General features: G+C 39.6%; 6 non-coding genes across 6 annotated transcripts; all 6 read right to left on the minus strand.

The window, feature by feature from the left end:
* Positions 1 to 1,910: 1,910 nt before the first annotated feature.
* On the minus strand, positions 1,911 to 1,987 carry MIR892C (microRNA 892c). The gene has a single exon (NR_106783.1). It is a non-coding gene; the product is annotated as a microRNA 892c (primary transcript).
* A 1,448-nt stretch (positions 1,988 to 3,435) lies between these two features.
* Positions 3,436 to 3,512, minus strand: MIR890 (microRNA 890). The gene has a single exon (NR_030589.1). It is a non-coding gene; the product is annotated as a microRNA 890 (primary transcript).
* Positions 3,513 to 3,944: 432 nt separating this feature from the next.
* MIR888 (microRNA 888) lies at positions 3,945 to 4,021 on the minus strand. The gene has a single exon (NR_030592.1). It is a non-coding gene; the product is annotated as a microRNA 888 (primary transcript).
* Positions 4,022 to 5,829: 1,808 nt separating this feature from the next.
* MIR892A (microRNA 892a) lies at positions 5,830 to 5,904 on the minus strand. The gene has a single exon (NR_030584.1). It is a non-coding gene; the product is annotated as a microRNA 892a (primary transcript).
* A 454-nt stretch (positions 5,905 to 6,358) lies between these two features.
* On the minus strand, positions 6,359 to 6,435 carry MIR892B (microRNA 892b). The gene has a single exon (NR_030593.1). It is a non-coding gene; the product is annotated as a microRNA 892b (primary transcript).
* A 3,778-nt stretch (positions 6,436 to 10,213) lies between these two features.
* Positions 10,214 to 10,292, minus strand: MIR891B (microRNA 891b). Its single transcript, NR_030590.1, has one exon. It is a non-coding gene; the product is annotated as a microRNA 891b (primary transcript).
* Positions 10,293 to 20,649: the final 10,357 nt, after the last annotated feature.

A 20,649-nucleotide genomic window follows, 5' to 3' on the forward strand; every position in this document is an offset into this window, starting at 1 on the left:
CAGTCTGAAGGCCATCACAAACTTGTACTTACTCTACCCAGAAAGGACCCAGTGACATGTAATCTAAGTGACTGGCACATTTCTGAGTAGGGAACTTCCCACAGCATGGCTAATTGTGGAGATGCTGCCCCATCTTGCATGTTCTCTCCCTGTAGCTTTCATCACTCCTCCGAGCATAGCATGATGCCTGAACCCTGAACTTATTTATTCATTAGTCCTAGAGAATGCCCAAGCCCACTACCCTCCAACTTGCATGTATGCCTCACTGAGGACCCTCTCACTTGCTCTATGTTTATCTGGATGATTTCCAGGACCAGGAGAGAACAAGTTTGTTCCTGATTTCGCTTCTTCTTTTGGGAAATATCTTTATCTTCTGTATCCCGTAGGTGTTCACATTGTAGCAAACGACCATGAAACTTATTTTGAGGATGACTGAGTTCTAGCTAACCACCAAGGATCTCCTGAGATCAATGAGGACATCTCAAGGTGCCTGTAACTCTATACCCTCACCAGTCTGAGGGCCACCACAAACTTGTACTTCGTGACTCTTATTCCACCCAGAGAAAAAACCAATTACATGTAATCTAAGTTACTGGCACTCTATTAGTCAATTGTCATGCTGCTAATAAAGACATACCAAAGACTGGGTAATTTCTATTGAAAAAAGAGGTTTAATTGACTCACAGTTCAGCATGGCTGGGGAAACCTCAGGAAACTTGCAATTACGGTAGAAGGGGAAGCAAACACGTCCTTCTTTACATGGCGGCAGGAATGAGAAGTGTTGAGCAAAGCGGGTGAAAGCCCCTTATAAAACCATCAGATCTTGTGAGAACTCACTATCATGAGATCAGCAGCATGGGAGTAACCGCCCCCATGATTCAATTACCTCCCACTGGGTCCCTCCCATGACACATGGGGATTATGGGAACTATGATTCAAGGTGAGATTTGGGTGGGGACACAGCCAAACCATATCAGACACCTTTCTGGGAATAGCCCTGAACACAGCATGGTCGAAAGGGGAAGTGCTGCCCCATCTTGCATTTTCATACCCTGCAGCTTTCATCACTCCTCTGAGCACGGTATGATGCCTGAATCCTGAACTTATTTATTCATCAGTTCAAAATAATGCCCAGCCCACAAGCCCCCAACTTGCATGTCTCCCTCAGTGCCCTCTCACCTGCTCTATGTTTACCTGGATGATTGCCCAGACCAGGAGAAAACAAGCTTGTTCCCGTTTTCTATTCTTCAACTAGGAAGTATCTTCATCTCTTCTATCACTTTCTTCTTTAACATGATGGAGTCTACATCATTAGGAATGCACCAGTAGAATTATCTTGAGGATGCCTGAGGTCCATGTGGCCAAATAGGATCTCCTGGCATCAGGGAAGGCAGCTCAAGGCCCTTGGAACTCCACATCAGGGGTCTACAGGCAACTATATGCTTGTACTTGGTAAGCCTTAGTCCACTCAGAGAGGAACTAGTTACATATAATCTAAGTGACTGGCACCTTTCTGGAACATATTATGGACGAATGGGGAGGGGCTACTCCATCGTGCAATGTGAATCCCCATCCTAGAGAATGTCCAGCCCACTGCCCTCCATCATGTATGTTTCCCTCAGCAAGAGCACTCTCACTTGGCTTCATGTTTACCCAGATGGTTGCCAGGACCACGAGAGAACAAGCTTGTTTTTCTGTTCTTCTATTAGGAAGTATCTTCACGTCTTCTATCCTTCTCTTCTCTATCATATAGGTATTCTCATTATTAGGAATGAACCACTGAAATCATCTAGAGGATGTCTGAGGTTCAGGTGGCCAGCTAGGATCTCCTGGCATCATTGAAGACAACTTAGGGCTCCAGCAACTCCAACTCATCGCCTGTCTGAAGACCACCACACACTTGTACTTGGTAAGCCCTACTCCACTCAGAAAGGAAACAGTGACATGTAATCTAAGTGACTGGCACCTTTCTGAATAGGGCACTGCCCACAGCACGACTGATAGTGGAGGTGCTGCCCCATCACCCACCATCACGCACTGCAGGTTTCATCACTCCCCTCAACACAGCAGGCTGCCTGAGCCCTGAACACATTTATTAAGTCCTAGAGAAGTTCCAGCCCACTGCCCTCCAACTTGGCATGCCTGCCTCAATGAAGACCTTCTCACTTGATTTATGTTTCCCTGGATGATGGCCAAGACGAGAAGAAAAAAAATCTTGTTCCCGTTCTCTCTTCTTCTTTTAGGAAGTATCTTTATCTCTTCTATTATTACCTTATCTAACCTGTAGGTGCTCACATTGTTAGAAATGGATCATTAAAATCATCTTGAGGATCCCTGAGTTCCAGGTGGCTTCCAAATCTCTCCTGGGATCAATGAAGGCAGTTGAAGGTGCTTGCAGGTCTGTCTCCTCACCAATCTGAACGCCATCACAAAATTGTACCTGGAGAATCTTGCTCTACCCAGAAAGGAGCTGGAAACATCTAATCTAAGTGACTGACCCCTTTTGGAGTAGGGCACTGCCCACAACATGGCTAATTGTGGGGGTGCTGTCCCATCTTGCATGTTCTCCCCCTGTAGCTTCCATCACTCCTGAGCACAGCATGATGCCTGAACCCTGAATTTATTTATTCAACAGTCCTGGATCATGTCTAACCCACTGCCCTCCAATGTACATGCCTCCCTAAATGAGGAACCCCTCACCTGCTCTATGTTTACCTGGGTGATCGCCAAGACCAGGAGAAAGCAAGATTGTTCTCATTCTATTTTTCTAGTAGGAATTATCTTCATCTTGTCTTTCTCATCTATAACCTGCATGTGTTCATGTTGTTAGGGACAGACGATTTAGAATATCTCGACGATGCCTGAGGTCCACATGGCCAACTAAGGTCTCCTGGTATCAGGAAAGGTACCTCAAGGCTCTTGAAACTCCACCCTATCATGGGTCCAAAGGCCACTACAAACTTATACTTGTTGAGCCTTACACTACCAAGGAAGAAACCAGTGATGTATAATCTAGGAAACTGGCACATTTCTAAGTAGGACACTGCACACAGCATGTCTGATAGCGGAGGTGCTGGCCCATCTTGCAAGGTCAACCCCCGTCCAGGAGAATGTCCAGTCTGCTGCCCTCCATGACGCATGTCTCACTCAATGAGACATGCTCACTGCTCCATATTTGCCCAGATGGTTGCCAGGACCATGAGAGAACAAGCTCGTTTTCTGTTCTTCTATTAGGAAGTATCTTCATTTCTTCTATCTTTCTATTCTCTGAAAAATAGGTATTTCCATTGTTAGAAATGCATCATTGAAATCACCTTGAGAACACCTAAGGTTCAGGTGGCCAGCTAGGATCTCCCGGCCTTACTGAAGACAACTAAAGCCTCCAGCAACTCCACTGCATCACCTGTCCGAAGGTCACCATGAACTTGTACTTGGTAAGACTTACTCTACTCAGAAAGGGAATAGTTACATGTAATCTAAGCAACTGATGCCTTTCCAAGTAGGGCACTTCCCACAGCATGTCTGATTGTAGAGGTGCTGCCCCATCATCCACCATCGTGCACTGCAGCTTTCATCACCCCACTCAACACAGCAGGATGCCTGAACCCTGAACTTAATCTTAATTCCTAGAGAATTTCCAGCCCACTGCCCTCCAACTTGGCATGCCTGCCTCAGTGACGACCTTCTTATCTGATTTATGTTCACCTGGATGATGGCCAAGACAAGAAAAGATTGTTCCTGTTTTCTCCTTTTAGGAAGTAACTATCTTTTCTGTCATTGCCTTCTCTAATTTGTAGGTGCTCACGTTGTTAGAAATGATCATCTTGACGATGCCTGAATTCCAGGTGGTTTCCAAGGTTCTCCTGGGATCAATGAAGGCAGCTCAAGTTGCTTGCAGGTCTACCCCCTCACCAGTCTGAGGACCACCACAAAAGTGTACTTGGTGAGCCTTCCTTCACCCAAAGAGGTGTCAGTCACATGTAATCTAAGTGACTGACAGCTTTTTGAGTAGAGCACTGCCCACAACATGGCTAATTGTGGAGGTGCTGTCGCATCTTGCGTGTTCTCCACCTGTAGCTTCCATCACTCCTCTGAGCACAGCATGATGTCTGAACCCTGAACTTATTTATTCATCAGTCCTGGATCATGTCTAGCCCACTGCCCTCCAAGGTATATGCCTCCCTAAGTGAGGAATCTCTCACCTACTCTATGTTTATCTGGATGATTGCCAGGACCAGAAGAGAGCAAGATTGTTCCCATTTTCTATTTTTCTAGTAGGAATTATCTTCATCTTGCCTTTCTGATCTATAACCTGTAGGTGCTCATGTTGTTAGGGACAAGCCACTTAACTTATCTTGAGGATGCCTGAGGTCCACATGGCCAACTAAGATCTGCTGGTCTCAGGGAAGGTACCTGAAGGCTCTTGCAACTCTACACTATCATGGGTCCAAAGGCCACTACAAACTTATACTTGGTGTGCCTTACTCTACCTGGAAAGGAACTAGTGACATATAATCTGGGCGACTGACACATTTCTGGGCAGGGCACTGCACACAGCATGGCTGATTGTGGAGGTACTGCCCTATCTTGCACAGTTATACCCTACAGCTTTCACCACTCCCCTCAACACAGCATGGCGCCTGAACCCCGAACTTAACTTATTCATAAGTCCCAAAGAATACCCAGCTCATTGCCCTTCAACTTGCATGCTTCCTTCAGTGAGTACCCTCTCATCTGCTTTGTTTAGCCAGATAATTACCAAGACCAGTAGTGAACACACTTTTTCCAGATTTCTCCTCTTCTACAAAACATATATTGATCTTTTATCTTTTGCTTCCTTAACACATAAGTGCTCATATTGTTTGGTGTGCACCATCGAAATCATCTTGAGGATGCCTGAGGTCCACGTGACCAACTAGGATCTTCTGGCATTCGAGAAGGCAGTTGAAAGGCCCCTGACGCTCCACTGCATCAGGAGTCCAAAGGCCAGCCAAAAGTTGTGTTTGGTGATATTACTCCACCCAGAAAGGAACCAGTTACATATAATCCAAGTGACTGGAACTGTTCTAGAAAAGGCACTGCATACATTATGGCTGAATACGGAGGTGCTGCCCAGTCTCGCATGGTTGCTCCCAGCAGCTTTCATCACTCTCCTAAACGCAACAGAATGCCTGAACCCTGATCTCATTTATTCATCACTCCTAGAGAATTTCCAGCTCACTGCCCTCCAATTTGCGTATCTCACTCAGTAAAAGTACTCTCACCTGCTCGGTGTTTGCCCAGATCACACCCAGGAGCAGGAGAGAACAAACTTGTTCCATTTTCTATTTTTTTTTTTTTTTTTTTTTTTTTTTGAGACGGAGTCTCGCTCTGTCGCCCAGGCTGGAGTGCAGTGGCGGGATCTCGGCTCACTGCAAGCTCCGCCTCCCGGGTTCACGCCATTCTCCTGCCTCAGCCTCCCAAGTAGCTGGGACTACAGGCGCCCGCCACTACGCCCGGCTAATTTTTTGTATTTTTAGTAGAGACGGGGTTTCACCATTTTAGCTGGGATGGTCTCGATCTCCTGACCTCGTGATCTGCCCGCCTCGGCCTCCCAAAGTGCTGGGATTACAGGCGTGAGCCACCGCGCCCGGCCATCTTGTTCCATTTTCTGTTCTTCTATTAGGAAGTAACTTCACGTCTTCTATCCCTCTCTTCTCTACAGGTGTTCACGTCTTAAGGATGCCTGAGGTTCAGGTGGCCAGCTAGGATCTCCCGGCATTATTAAAGACAACTCCTGCAGCTCCACCCTATTACCTGTCCGAAGGCCACCACAAACTTGTACTTAGTGAGCCTTACTCTACGCAGAAAGGACACAGTGACATGTAGTGTAAGTGACTGGCACCTTTCTGAGTAAGGCACTGCCCACAGCATGGCTGATTGTGAAGGTGCCGCCCCATCCCCCACCATTGTCCCCTGCATCTTTTATCACTCCCTTCAACACAGCAGGATGCCTGAATCTGGAACTTACTTATTATTAAGTCCTAGAGAATGTCCAGCCCACTGCCCACCAACTGTCATGCCTGACTCAGTGAGAACCCTCTCACTTGCTCTATGTTTACCCAGTGATTGCCAGGACCAGGTGAGAACAAGCTTGTTACCGTTTTCTATTACTCTATTAGGAACGATCTTCATCTCATCTTTCTCTTCTTTAACCTGTAGGTGTTCACATTGGTAGGAATGCACCACTGAAATCATCTTGAGGATGCCTGAGGTCCACATGGCCAGCTAGGTTCTCCTGTTATCAGGGAAGGCAGCTTGAGGCTTTTGCAGCTCTACTCCAACACGGGTACAAAGGCCACCACAAATATATACATGGTGAGCCTTGCTCTACCCAGAAAGGAGCCAGTGACATAAAATCTACATAAATGGCACCTTTCTGAGTAGGGCATTGCACACAGCATGGCTGATTGCGGAAGCGCTGCCCTGTGCCCCACCATTGTCCCCTGCAGGTTTTATCATTCCCCTCAATAGAACATGATGCCTGAACAATTTGATTCATAAGTCCTAGAGAATGCTCATCCCACTGCTCTCCAAACTGCATCCCTCCTTAAGTGGAGACCCACTAATCTTCTCCATGTTTACCTAGATGATTGACAGGAGCAGGAGAGAATAAGCTTGGACATGTTTCCTTTTCTTAAGAAGTATCTTTATCTTCTCAAACTTCTAAAAATGGAAGTTTTTTATATATATAGCATTTCATGTGGTTTGATCTCCCTAAAGTTTACACAAAAAACCCTCCAATACACCCACCACATCCTTCTTTTCTCCATATATTCCTTCATTCCAAATACATAGAATAAAAATGACAAGAATTGCAAAAATTCCTAAGTGAAGCTAAAGTACATTAGAGATGTGAAAGACAGAAACTTATTTTCTTCATCCATCCTTTGAGAGGAAACTACACTTTTAACTCATAACTTTTGAATTTTCCTACAGGCCTTTTGTGCTCTGATTTTCCCTGAAATAATCTGAATCAGAGGGAGGTTGTAAGACAATATGTGGGGAGATACCTGACCCCAATCCAGTTCTCCTGGCCATGATTGGAACCTTGCACTCACTCCCAACCATGAAATTACCAATACCTACGTGATCATTCATCTATTATTCTGCTACAAAGCGTGACACAAAGGTAGCAAAGTTTCATATCCTTTATTCACCAAAACAAACGTAATTGTTGATAGGAGCAGCAGAGAAGAAATATGCCCAATATCTGGGACCCTTAGTGGTCTAGAAAAGCTGTGAGAGCAAACTTCTGAAAAATGATGCCTATTTTGACCCAGTTGTGCCAGTATTTATTTCTTGCATTGGCCTTAGGATGTTTATCTCACACAGATGATGATAAGCTGTTTACCACGCAAGAACAAGCACTGAATACACCAGTTGGCATGGAGTCAGAGACTACTATGTATCTCCTTATATTTCATTGCCTTATTTCATAAGTTATGTGAAAAAATAAAGGTAAATACAAATAAAAGGACAAGAGCAACAACAATAATTTATATTTCTGAAATGCTCACTTACACCACATCAATGTACTTGGGAATTTTATGTGAATCTTCTCATATGTCCTCACAATCTTTTACATACTGACACGGATTTGTCATGAAGATTAATGAAAAAACATGTGAAGATACGCTTGGATCCTCAAATATAACACAGGAGATATTATGCTTATGGCAACATAAAAGGCACATCTAGAGAAGAAAAATTACCTATGAAATTTCCTATTTACAACCTACTTAACCATCTATAAGTATGTGGGTAGTTCTATCACGTATAATTCACCAGCGCTATTAACTGTCTTTCTTTACACCAAATGGTCCCGAGATCTTGATAATTCTGATGCATGAGAGAGCAATACAGGAACAGCTGGCAGCAGGTACTTTCAGATTTATGATGGGAAGGCAGAGTTCTCCTAAGTGCCTCGCTTGGGACATACTGACTGTGATGATGTGGAATGAGAATTTCTTTAATACAGCAATGCATTAAAAATGGAGATATCACTGTCTATCTAGATTGATTAAAACATTAAAACCACTAGATTTGGCCAGGCGCGGTGGCTCACGCCTGTAATCCCAGCACTTTGGGAGGCTGAGGTGGGCGGATCACAAGGTCAGGAGATCAAGACCATCCTGGCTAACACGATGAAACCCCGTCTCTACTAAAAAAAATACAAAAAATTAGCCCGGCGTGGTGGCGGGTGCCTGTAGTCCCAGCTACACAGGAGGCTGTGGTGGGAGAATGGTGTGAACCCATGAGGCGGAGCTTGCAGTGAGCAGAGATGGGCTACTGCACTCCAGCCTGGGTGGTAGAGCGAGACTCCATCTCAAAAAAAAAAAAAAACCAAAAAAACCCAAAACACTAGATTAGTAAGGTTGGGAGAAAACAAAGAGATACTACACTAAATACCTCCACAAACTGTCAGCATTAGCCATCAATCAATATTAGAAAAATAAGAATTTTATCAAAAAAGAAAGATGGATTTGTAGAAGTGCCCAACCGCATACTCAGTTCTTGGAAAATACAAACCCTTCCAAGAGGAGACTTCAGGATTGCTAAGGACTTAAACCCCTTACCAGATGAATTAGGTGGTGCAATGCTTTACTGAAAACTATTTTAAAATCCTAGTCTTGTAATCATACAACTGGAATGGTCTCAAAAATAATGAGCCATATCAGAGGTAAGGTGGTAAGGAATAGATAATATGTAAAAATTATGAGCTTCTTGTACATAAGCCTCTACATGTCTAGGGATTTCCAGGCTCCTACCATTTGGTAAGTGGAGACTACAGTTTCCAGATCAGATGGAGGAACAGTGACCAAATTTATCTGGTGTCTAAAACAACATAAAACCCAGATATATACAGAAAAGCTTGCCTTCAGACACTGTAGAGTGATCTGTGAGAGAGGGGACACATTAGAACAGTCCATCCATTCTCCTGCCAACTTCTCAGAGAGAGAATATCGACTCCAGTGCAGAGAATGGGAACCCAGGCAAAGCCTGGCAATTTTCAACATTAACAGATTAAAATGGAAAAAAGAGACCATCTCACTAGATGCAGGGAGATATGTGACTAAATCTAACATCCATATCTGAAACATAATAACAGCAAATCAGGCATAGCACAGAGTATATCCTCAATTGCTTGAATGGCATCTATGAAAAAACACAGCTAAATTAAGACTTAATTGTTAACGTTCTTATGCTTGACGCCTGAGATCAGGAACCAGATGAGAATGTCCCACTCACCATTTCTGTGCAAGAATTATACCAAATTAAAGTAAGGAAATCAGGTAAGGACATAATATTTTATAGTTTGCAATCATGGATGAGTAAAATCAGGAGTCTGTCATCTTCAACCATTGACTTCCCCTTACCTGTGTTTGCAGTGGCTTCAATGCTTGCACTGCAAGTAAATTATCTCTGCAGGCATAGATATCCACAGAGTATTCTAGAAAAATATGTAAAATGAATAATAAAGCAGAACAAAGCAGAACACATTACAATATGTATATGAAAAACCACCAATGAAATCCTTTGAGTGATAACTGATGATATGCTTCTTAGTACTAATGTAATAGCAGTGTTACTAGGACTGATACCATTAGTTATAGTATTAGTACTGCTTGCAGTAGTACTAACAGGAAAATCTGCTGAATGATTACATGTCTGGCAGATATGTAGTTCAGATTTTCATATGGATTTCCACATTTCATACACACGACAAATCAGTACCAAAGAGACAGTATCCTAATGTTTTGATTTGTCATGGTGATTGAGGACATGTGTAGAACATACATTTGGAAATGGAAAAAAACCAGAAATATACAGATAAGCATAGTAATCACAGATAATCATGTGATCATAGAACAACATTAAGTTAAGACTGCTACGCAGTGTTAACCTCACAGAAACCATCCACATTAACCTCAGAAAAACAGAAAATAAGAAGAAATTCATCTTGCTGCTATACGTCCTCCAGTCTGACCTAATAAAAGGTGTTTATTGAACATGCTCTTATTTTTACCAAAGTACTAGTAATATAGTCTCTACTAGTACGACTACTCTACTACCAGTATCACTACAAGGAGGTGAAGGAAAAGCAGCAGTAGCTACATAACTGATGACTTACATGGTTTGCAATGTCCATGAGGCCTTTAGATGGATTATCTCTTTTGACCCTAACAACAAACATGTGCCATTGAATGTTTTACTGAATCAATGACTCAGGTAAGTTGCAAGGATTAAGGAGACAACATTTGTAGACTCTTTTGGGACCTACAAAGAAACAAAGAAGCTACGTAATTATAGTATGACTATGAAACATTTAATACCTAAAATAAATGACATACTAATTTACTATTCACGACCTATGTAGCTATCAGCATGTATATTTTCTTTCTCATTTCTATTAGTAATAATTTACCGGTGCTGCAGTTGGAGGATGAAAATCTTGAAAGGGCTGGCAGTAAAGCTCTACCAATCCATTATAATTGTGACGTCTCAAAATTTGCAAATCACAGATTATGGTACAGAATGAGGCTGTCTGTATTGAGTTCAGTCTAAATATATAGACACTGATTCCCCACCCACAAATATGTAAAATGCGACAACTAACAGATAGTTTAAAGTGGGAAGAAAAAAGGACAGGTTAAAAAGAATGACAACCTTCCTCAAACCACCAGCAATAATTGTGTGAAGACTTGTTCAAAAGTTAAAATTCCCTAAAAATATACACATGTATATACATATATTCACAGATATCCATGCAGAAATAAGAAAATGTCCCCAAAAGCACATATACACGAAATTGAAGGGATTATGTAACTCAGACTTTATCCACATTAATAATGAGTAAGTCCTGTATTGTTCATTTCTAGTTCATTGCCTGTCCATACCTAACACTCTTTATATTATTTTAAAAGAACTATGATAAAATTCTTCTAATGCTTATTTTCTAATGCAGATCAAAGATATGAATAAAAAGTTATACAAAGAAAAATATGTGGAGAATCTACCACAGGAGTTCCTAAATGGTATTCTTAACAGTTACATAATAATAATCAACACAAGGTAATCATGGCTTACAAATTCAGTTTCCAAAAATAACTGGTGGCTGATATGACATGTTAAATGAAGCAAATGGCTGGAAAACCCATATTGAGCTGACAGTTCATAAAACTCATGATGTGATAGGTGAGTTCTACAATTAGAAGTAACTCTTGGTGACTTAACAACTCTGATTATGCAGGCTATTTATTAAATACTGCAATTCATTATACAGAGGGAGGTTGTTATCTTTATGGAATTATCTGAAAAATGAAGAGAACTGGTTGACAGCTAAGGAAATGAGGCAAGAATAAAAGACAAAAAATGACAAAGTTATTTTGCCTGTTTTCCAGCCACAATCATACAGCAAAAATAAGATTGTATTCAAAACAGAAATCAATCAAAAATTGGTAGGATAAATAAAGTTTTCACACATATAGACACAAAACTATTTGGTTTCCTTTATTAGACATAACATAGGTTTGCTTGGATAAGTATTTTTCTTAATTTTAAACGACTAAGGGCCAGGCGTGGTGGCTCACACCTATAATCCCAGCATTTTGGGTGGCCGAGGTGGGTGGACCACCTGAGGTCAGAAGTTTGAGAGTGGCCGATACGGTGAAACCCTGTGTCTACTAAAAAAACAAACATTAGCTGAGTATGGTTGCGGGTGCCTGTAATCCCAGCTACTCGGGAGGCTGAGGCAGGAGAATCCCTAGAACCTGGAGCTAGAGGTTGCAGTGAGCCGAGATCGCACCATTGCACTCCAGCCTGGGTGACATGAGTGAAACTCCGTCTCAAAAAAAAAAAAAAAGACTAGGAAGCTAACATTTAAGAAAGATGAATGAAATAAATTAATACATTTGAATATTGAATATATTTTCCTAGGTTCCCCAATTATGGTTAGACAGCAAAACATTTATTACGAAAAATTAAGACAAATTCATTTCATAGAAAGAGAACAGTTCCATTAATTTTCTGTGGTGACTTGCAAAACGTTTCTACACTCAGCAATGAATTCCTTCTGTAAATTATATTTGCTCAATTTAATTAATAAATACAGTAGCAATAAAGATAATTATTAACATTTACTCAATGTTGATTTAATTAGATTATATAATATATATTTGGAGATTTTTTCATTTGATCCAGAAAACACCTATATTATATAAAAATCATTATTAATTTGATAGCACAGATTGGCTGTGAAGTTTGAGTGGAGCAACATGTATAAACTACTTGAGTTACATAAAATGTCATAAGCACATCACTGAGTAGTGTATCACAGCGTTCATCACTGTGGCTGTCAAGGCTAATTCTTAATGCCACAGCAATGTCCAATTTCGACACTACTTAAAACATAGAAGTCCTGGAATTTCTGAGGTTAATCCTGTACTCGTTGCTATTATTAGTGAATATTAAACCCCACTATTCCATTGGTCCTCTTCAGGTTCTAGATTCTTCTCAATTTTCTGGGGTTTAAGTGGATTCCAAATCCCAATGATCTTACCAGGGAGTAATGTTGGTCCTGTTACAACAAACCATTTATTTTTTTAATCTGCATGATATTGAATCCAGTTTCAAATACAGGCCTAAAACAGTACCTAGGATAAACTCAAAAGAGGTAATTCATAACAAACACTTATGAACACTCCACAAGCGTCTTACAGAGCAGCCAATACCTTCGTTCTGGCTTTTGACAAAAGAGACTGTTTGCGAGTCGACTGGCAAGGAGACAAGAGGAAAGCCTCAAATCTTTCTCCTTGACGGGCGTTGGGTTGGATTTTATAAGCAGAGGGTGATGAGGAGTGATCTGACTGGCTCTTGCAATGAGGTGATGCTAGGAGGCAGGATCTGACGGGATCCTGCCATGGGGTGACACAAGGGCTCAACCTGGTGGTATCCTGGGTCCTGCCATGCAGTGTCCACTTCCTAATTCAGTCCCCACTTCTTGGTCTGAGCACTTAGGTCCCTCCCATGGCTGCACGCTTAGTTCATCTGATCATGTTCAAGTTATGTGACCTTCAACGTGGGGGTCCATAGCAACTGTAAAAGAACTCACAACTTTGTTACAGAAAAGTTGTTACAAACCCTCCCTTTTTTATGTCCATTCCTCAATCTTGAGAGAAAAGGGGTAAGGACCATTCTAGATACTTCCTGCTGATTAGGATCACAGACCTTGTTTAAAGAACTGAAATTGTTTTTATTATCATATCTGCCATGCTGATCTGTGATCAGTGATCGTGGATGTTACTATTGTAATTGTTTTGGGGGTGCCACAAACCCCATCCATATAAGACAGCAAACAATTGTTAAATGTTATGTGTGTCCTGACTGTCCCCCCAATCATCTATTTCCCTTCTTTTTCCCTCTCCTTAGGATTCCTTATTCCCTGAGACCAAAAAAAAAAAAAAAAAAAAAAAGCTATGGAAATTAGGCCACTTAAAAACCCTACAATGACTTCTAAGTGTTCAAGTGAATGGAAGAGTCACACATCCCTATCTATACATTAAAAACTGATTAAGATTAGTGAGGAAAATATGTCAAAACCCAAGATAGGCCAAAAGCTAGGCCTTTTGCACCAGACAGTGAGCCAAGTTGTGGATGCAAGGAAAAGTTTTCGAAGGAAATTAAAAATTCTACTCCAGTGAACATGCAAAGGAGAAGGAAATAAATCAGTCTTATAGCTGATATGGAGAGTTTGAGTGCTCTGGACAGATAAAACCAGACACAACAGTCTCTTAGGCCAGAAACTAATCCAAAGCAAGACTCTCCTCAATTCTATCAAGGCTGAGAGAGGTGAGGAAGTTGCAGAAGAAAAGTTTGAAGCTAGCAAAGGTGGGTTCGTCAGGTTTAAGGAAAGAAGCCATTGCCATACAAAAATGTAAGGAGAAGCACTAAGTGTTGATATAGAAGCTATAGCCAAGTTATCCAGATCTAGTTAAGATCATAGATGAAGTTGGCTACATGAAACAAGAGATTTTCAGTCCAGATGACACCACTTTCTAATGGAAGAACAAGCCATCTAGGATTTTTGTAGCTAGAGAGGAAATAACACTGCGTGGCCTCAAAGCTTTAAAGGACAGGGTGATGACTCTCTTGTTAGGGGCTAATGCAGCTGATGACTATAAGTTGAAGCCAAAGATCACTTATGATACTAAAAATCCTAGGGCCCTTGAGAATTATGCTAAATCTTCTCTGCCTGCACTCTATAAATGGAACAGCAAAGCCTGGATGACAGCACATCTGTTTACAGCATGGTTTACTACTTTAAACCCACTATTGAGATCTACTGCTTAAAAATCAAAAAGATTCCTTTCAAAGTATTTTTGCTCATTGACAATGCACCTAGTCACCAAAGAGCTCAGATGGAGAAATACAAGGAGATAAATGTTTTCCTGTCTGCTAACACAATATCCATTTTGGAGCCCATGAATCAAGGAGTGATTTTAATTTTCAAGGCTTATTATTTAAGAAATACATTTCATAAGGCTATAGCTGTCATAAATAGTAATTGCTATGATGGATCTAGGCGAAGTCAATTAAAAATCTTCTGTAAGGGATTCACCATTCTAGATTCCCTTAAGAATGTACATGATTTATAGGAGGCTGTCAAATATCAAAATTAATAGGTGTTTCGGAGAAGTTGATTCCAACCCTCAGGGATGAATCTGAGGCGTTCAAGACTTCAGTGGAGGAAGTAATTGCAGACTTGGTGGAGATAGCAAGAGAACAAGAAATATTGAAGCCTCAAGGTGTGTCTGAATTGCTACAATCTCATGATAAAACTTTAACAAGAGAGCAAAGAAAGTGGTTTCTTGAGATGAAATCTACTCCTGGTAAAAATGCCGTGAACAGTGTTGAAATGACAACAAAGAATTGAAAATAGTAAATAAATTTAGTTGTAAATGCAACAGCAGGGTTGGAGAGGATTGACTCCAAATTGGCAAAAAAGTTCAATTGTGGGTAAAATGCTACCCAAGAGCATTGCATGCTACAGTGAAATCTTTTGTAAAGGCAAGATCAATTGATACAGCAAACTTCAACTTCAGAAATTGCCCCAACCACCCCAACCTTCAGCAACTACCAACAACAGCCAATGATATTGAGGCAAGACCCCTACCAGTAAAAAGATGATGACTCACTGAAGGATTAGATGATCTTTAGCATTTTTTTTACCAATACAGAATTATTAAATTTAGACATGTACTTTTTAGACATAATGCTATTGCATATTTAATAGACTACAGTACAGCGTAAACCTAAGTTTTATATGCACTGGGAAACCAAAGAATTTGTGTGACTTGCTTTCTTGTGATATATACTTCATTGTGGTGGTCTGAAACTGAACACACAATATCTCTGAGGTATGCCTATACTTTATGTTGCCTAGGTTCTCTACTTACTATGAAATTATACCATATCTATTATTTTTTAAAAAATTACTAAAGACATTTCCTTTTTTCAAACAATGGAAACTATATCACTAATTATTATCAAGGGCCATGAACAATTCACTACACTCCACACTCACCAATATTTCCCATCTTTTAAATGATAATCATTTGTGGTATTCATAAAATAAAAACAACCAATATTAACATCAATTTGATGCTTCTTAACGTTTCAGATAGAGTGTCTGAACTGAATTTGTGAACTCTTTAATCATCAAAAAATTATATAAACTTATTTAATTTATATTATATGATTTTTACTAGTTTTAAGTGGAGAGGTGTAAAATAATTTTGAAACTTAAGAAGTGACAATATAAACATAAATGTTTATGTAATCACAGCATCCATTTTTACTAAAGACGCATACATTAGTGACACAGTTATTTCTCATTCAGACCTACCATACAAAACCACAGGATGTGAACCTCAGCAAAGTCCTTCTGAGAACTAACTGTTACCATCTCACTGCTTGCCTCTATTACCTCAAATCCTCACAGCTGCCTGAGGTCTACGTGGCACATGGCAAAGATTGTTTCATGTGAAGATCCAGGTAGTTATAGATAGATTAAGAAAGATACGTGGAATAACATTTATAAAAAGCAATAGTTTTTAAACAATTTGTTCCCATTTTACTAGATATGCCAAGAACTGAAAATTTTCATTAAAATTCATTAGAACATGACTTTATTAAAAGTTCACTTGGAATGGAATATTAGCAAGTCATTTAGCCTTTAAATGTCCCAAAATTTCCAAAAAGGTGAAAATTAAACTTCACCCTAGAAACACTTGTAAAATTAATCATCATCATAGTAGTTATGGTCATAACCATCATTTGATGAATGATTACATATCTAGGAGATATAGTACTTTGGGAACCTAAAAGGCAACATAGAAGTAAAAACAATTTGATTATCACATGATTAGATCACTTACCTGCTATAACCCATTTTCACTGCATTCTAAATCAGTTAGTAATTGATGCTATAAGGCTTTATTCAACTCTAATTCGTAAAAACTGTAAGTGTAATAATCTAACAAGAACAGTCTAAAATATAAGGAGGACTCCTAGAGAACACAGCTGGGTTTGAAAACCTAGTTACACATGCTCGCCTCAGCAGCACATTTAGTAAAAACCTAGTTATATACCTGACTGCCAGTAATACCAAAAATAATGGAGATAAAAACATTATCAACATAAACAAAAAAGGCTAAGAAAGTTCTTATCATATCTTTTCTAGATATTCATGAAGAACATAACATGGATTTCTTGACAAAAACAAAATGTACCAAAATCAGGAGATGCGAAATGTCTACTTTGTAAGAAGGACTTTGATTTCATTTTGCCCAGATTATCTCATTGCCAATGCACACTGAGAACATAGATGTTACAGTCAGGGAAATTTTACAAAGCAATGTTATTTTTAACATCTAAATATCAACAAGTTATATCATTCAAGAAATCCTTAGAGAAAGTAGGAAAAATATTTGCCACACTGCATCCTCAATGGTATTGTCAAAATTTGAACATCCAGGGTTATTGTCCAAGTAATTCACAGAGACTTTGTTAGAAAAGAGTGCAAACTGTTGTGACATATGGGAAAACGTGTATATAGTAGAAAAATATTTACATCCTCAGTTTACATCATTAATCCAAATGTATACCACTTTAATTACAGTGTTGTATTATAAAACACCAAATGCTTTTTGATCTAGACAGGTGAAAATTTTTCACATTCATGAACCGATAATACATAAAAATCAGAGTCTAATACCGTATTTTACCAAATGACAGGCTCAAGACTCACACAGAAATGCACATGTTAGCTTCGATTATGGGGACAGAATACATGTTTGTTTAAACCAAAAAAATAGATTTCATTATTAAGTTACCATGGAATTCATTATGAAAAAGATATGGGAATGCAGAAATATGTGTTCGTCTGGGGTTAAGTGTATCTTAGATTCACGAATTACTGTAAAAATAAAAGTACATGCATCATTAAAAATCCAATATGAAAAAAAGAAAAACAATGGTTACTTTCTCTGGTGTCCTAAACTAGTCACTTTAATCTAATAAAAGTTTTCTTTTTTTCTTTTTTTTCTTTTTTTTTTTTTTTGAGACGGAATTTCGCTCTGTCGCCCAGACTGGAGTGCAGTGGCTCCATCTTGGCTCACTGCAAGCTCTGCCTCCCAGGTTCACGCCATTCTCCTGTCTCAGCCTCCCAAGTAGCTGGGACTACAGGCGCCCACCACCATGCCCGGCTATTTTTTTGTATTTTTAGTAGAGATGGAGTTTCACCGTGTTAGCCAGGATGGTCTCAATCTCCTGACCTCGTCATCCACCCGCCTGGGCCTCCCAACGTGCTAGGATTACAGGCGCCCGGCCAAAAGTTTTCTATCTGTATAACAATAATTTTTAATGTTAATAAAAATCATAATTAAGCATTAATACTGATCATTAACACTGACTTAATGATCACTTACCTGTCATTATGAGTTCCTTTGATCAAATTCTAGTAGTGTTCAAAATCACTCACAACATTCCTCATTACATGAAATTGTTATTAATTTTCTATCCCAGAACTGTTGTTAGAAATATTTGAAAAATACGCGTTAAAAATTTTTAACAAAAATAGTGACAGGCACATAAGTGAGTACATTATCACAACATGAACTTCCATTATGGTAAGGTGACTGTAACTACAGAGATTTCCCATTCAGAAATTCCTCACATACATACACAAAAATTCCAGAATGTTAGTGAAGACTAACCATCCTTTCTAACTGCCCATCTTTCGTGGTTAAGTTCCCGTGGTGTCTGGGTCCTAGGAGAGAGATAAGACCTAACTTCATTAACTGGAAGCACACTTGGCCCAGGGTGATGCAAACTGAATGTTGCTTCTTTTGTAACTTCAAACTCACCTCCAAATGTGGGACTAACATAGTGAAACCCAACAAGAGTGATGACAGAATAATACATATTTTGGCAATAGCTGGGATCAAACTTTGCTAACTACATAGAAGTCAATCATTCCAACAGTACATTAATAGAAGAGATACTGTGCTCAAAAAACAGAATGAATTGATTTTTAAAAATATGTAATCTGAATCTTGGATTGAAAAGAATCAAAAGCGGTCAACTGAAGCCGCTCACATCTGCTCTCTTCCCAACGTCTTCTTTTTGTTTTCCAGGCTTCAACTGTATGAAAATGCATTTAGATCTCTTTTGGCATGGATTTGCAAGAAGTGATCTAAAGGGTGAACACATTGAATATCAATCAGCAGAATATATTTCAATCTGTACAAAAAACCGGAAAAAACTACAACATCCTGGAAATACAATTGAACACACTGGTCTGTCTATATGATGACAAATGGCATATGAAAAATAGAGCTATATTGTAAACACCGGGCATCTAGAACTGGTTTAAAGCGAGATGTGGAGAAGCATGTTTATTGTGAGAGATAATTAAATTTTACATTATAAACACCTACTCGTTGTACTAGATTCACTGAATTTAAAAATATTCATTGAATCATAATAGTTCAATGTATTTTTAAAAATCTTCCTGTGTGATATTATCAGGTTATTTAGTCATTACAATTTCTATGAATACCATCCTGTTAAAAGTGGTAAGTAAAAGTGTTCTTTGTGTTAATAATAAACATAAGAGTAGCAGTAGTAACAGCAACGGCAAAAAGTAGTATCTCCTGAATAATTACACACTAGACAGGAAATATAATAGATTTTCTAATTTAACAATCATAACAAATATGTATTGACATTTTTAATACTTCTTAATAATCATAACATTTAATGAATATGAAAGGAGACAGTATGTGAAATGACAGTTCCGCCCCGTATAAAAATGTTTTGGTCAACGACAGACTGCATATACAATGGTGGTCCCATAAGTTTCAAATGGAGCTGAAAAATTCCCATTGCCTGGTGACATAGTAGCTGTCCTAAAATTCTAGTGCGACACATTACTCACGTGTTTGTGGTGATACTGGTGTAAACAAACCTACAGTGCTACCATTCATATAAAAGTGTAGCACAGGGCTAGGCGTGGTGGCTCATGCCTGTAATCCCAGCATTTTGGGAAGCCGAGACGGGCGGATCACCTGAGGTTGGGAGTTTGAGACCAGCCTGACCAACATAACATGGAGAAACCCCGTCTCTACTAAAAATACAAAATTAGCTGGGCGTGGTAGTGCATGCCTGTAATTCCAGCTACCTGGGAGGCTGAGGCAGGAGAATCGCTTGAACCCAGGAGGCAGAGGTTGTGGTGAGCCGAGATTGCGCCATCGAACTCCAGCTTGGGCAACAAGAGCAAAACTCTGCCTCAAAAAAAAAAAAAGTGTAGCACATATAATACATACAATACATAATATGTGATGACAATAAGCAAGTACGTTATGGGATTAAATTTTTCTATACCATACCTTTTATTATTTGAGCATATACAATGGTGGTTCCATAAGATTATAGTATAGCTGAAAAATTCATACGATTTGGTGTTGTCATAACATAGCACACAAAATTATGTATAGTATATAATATTTGATAATGATAATAAATGACTGTTACTGGAATATGTATTTTCTATACTATTTATCATTTTAGAAGGTACTCCTTGTACTTCTTAAAACCAAAGTTAACTATAAAACAGCCTCAGTTTCTCCAGGAGATATTCCAGAGGAAGGCATTGTTATTATGGGACATGACGACACCATGTGTGTTACTGCCTCTGAAGAACTAGTGGAGCAAATGTGAAGGTGGAAGACAGTGACATTGATGTTCCCGACCCTAGATAGGTCTAGGTTAATGTGTGTGTCTGTGTATCTTACTTTTTTGTTTTTGTTTTGAGATGGAGTCTCGCTCTGTCACCAGGCTGGAGTGCAGTGGCGTGATCTTGCCTCTCTGCAACCTCTGCTTCCTGGGTTCAAGTGAGTCTCCTGCCTCAGCCTCCCGAGTAGCTGGGACTACAGGTGTGCACCACCACACCCAGATAATTTTTTTTTTTTGTATTTTTAGTAGAGATGGGGTTTCACCATGTTGGCCAGGATGGTCTCAATCTCTTGACCTTGTGATCCACCTGCC

Source organism: Homo sapiens, chromosome X (genome assembly GCF_000001405.40).
Source record: "Homo sapiens chromosome X, GRCh38.p14 Primary Assembly".
NCBI classification, from domain to species: Eukaryota; Metazoa; Chordata; class Mammalia; order Primates; family Hominidae; genus Homo; species Homo sapiens.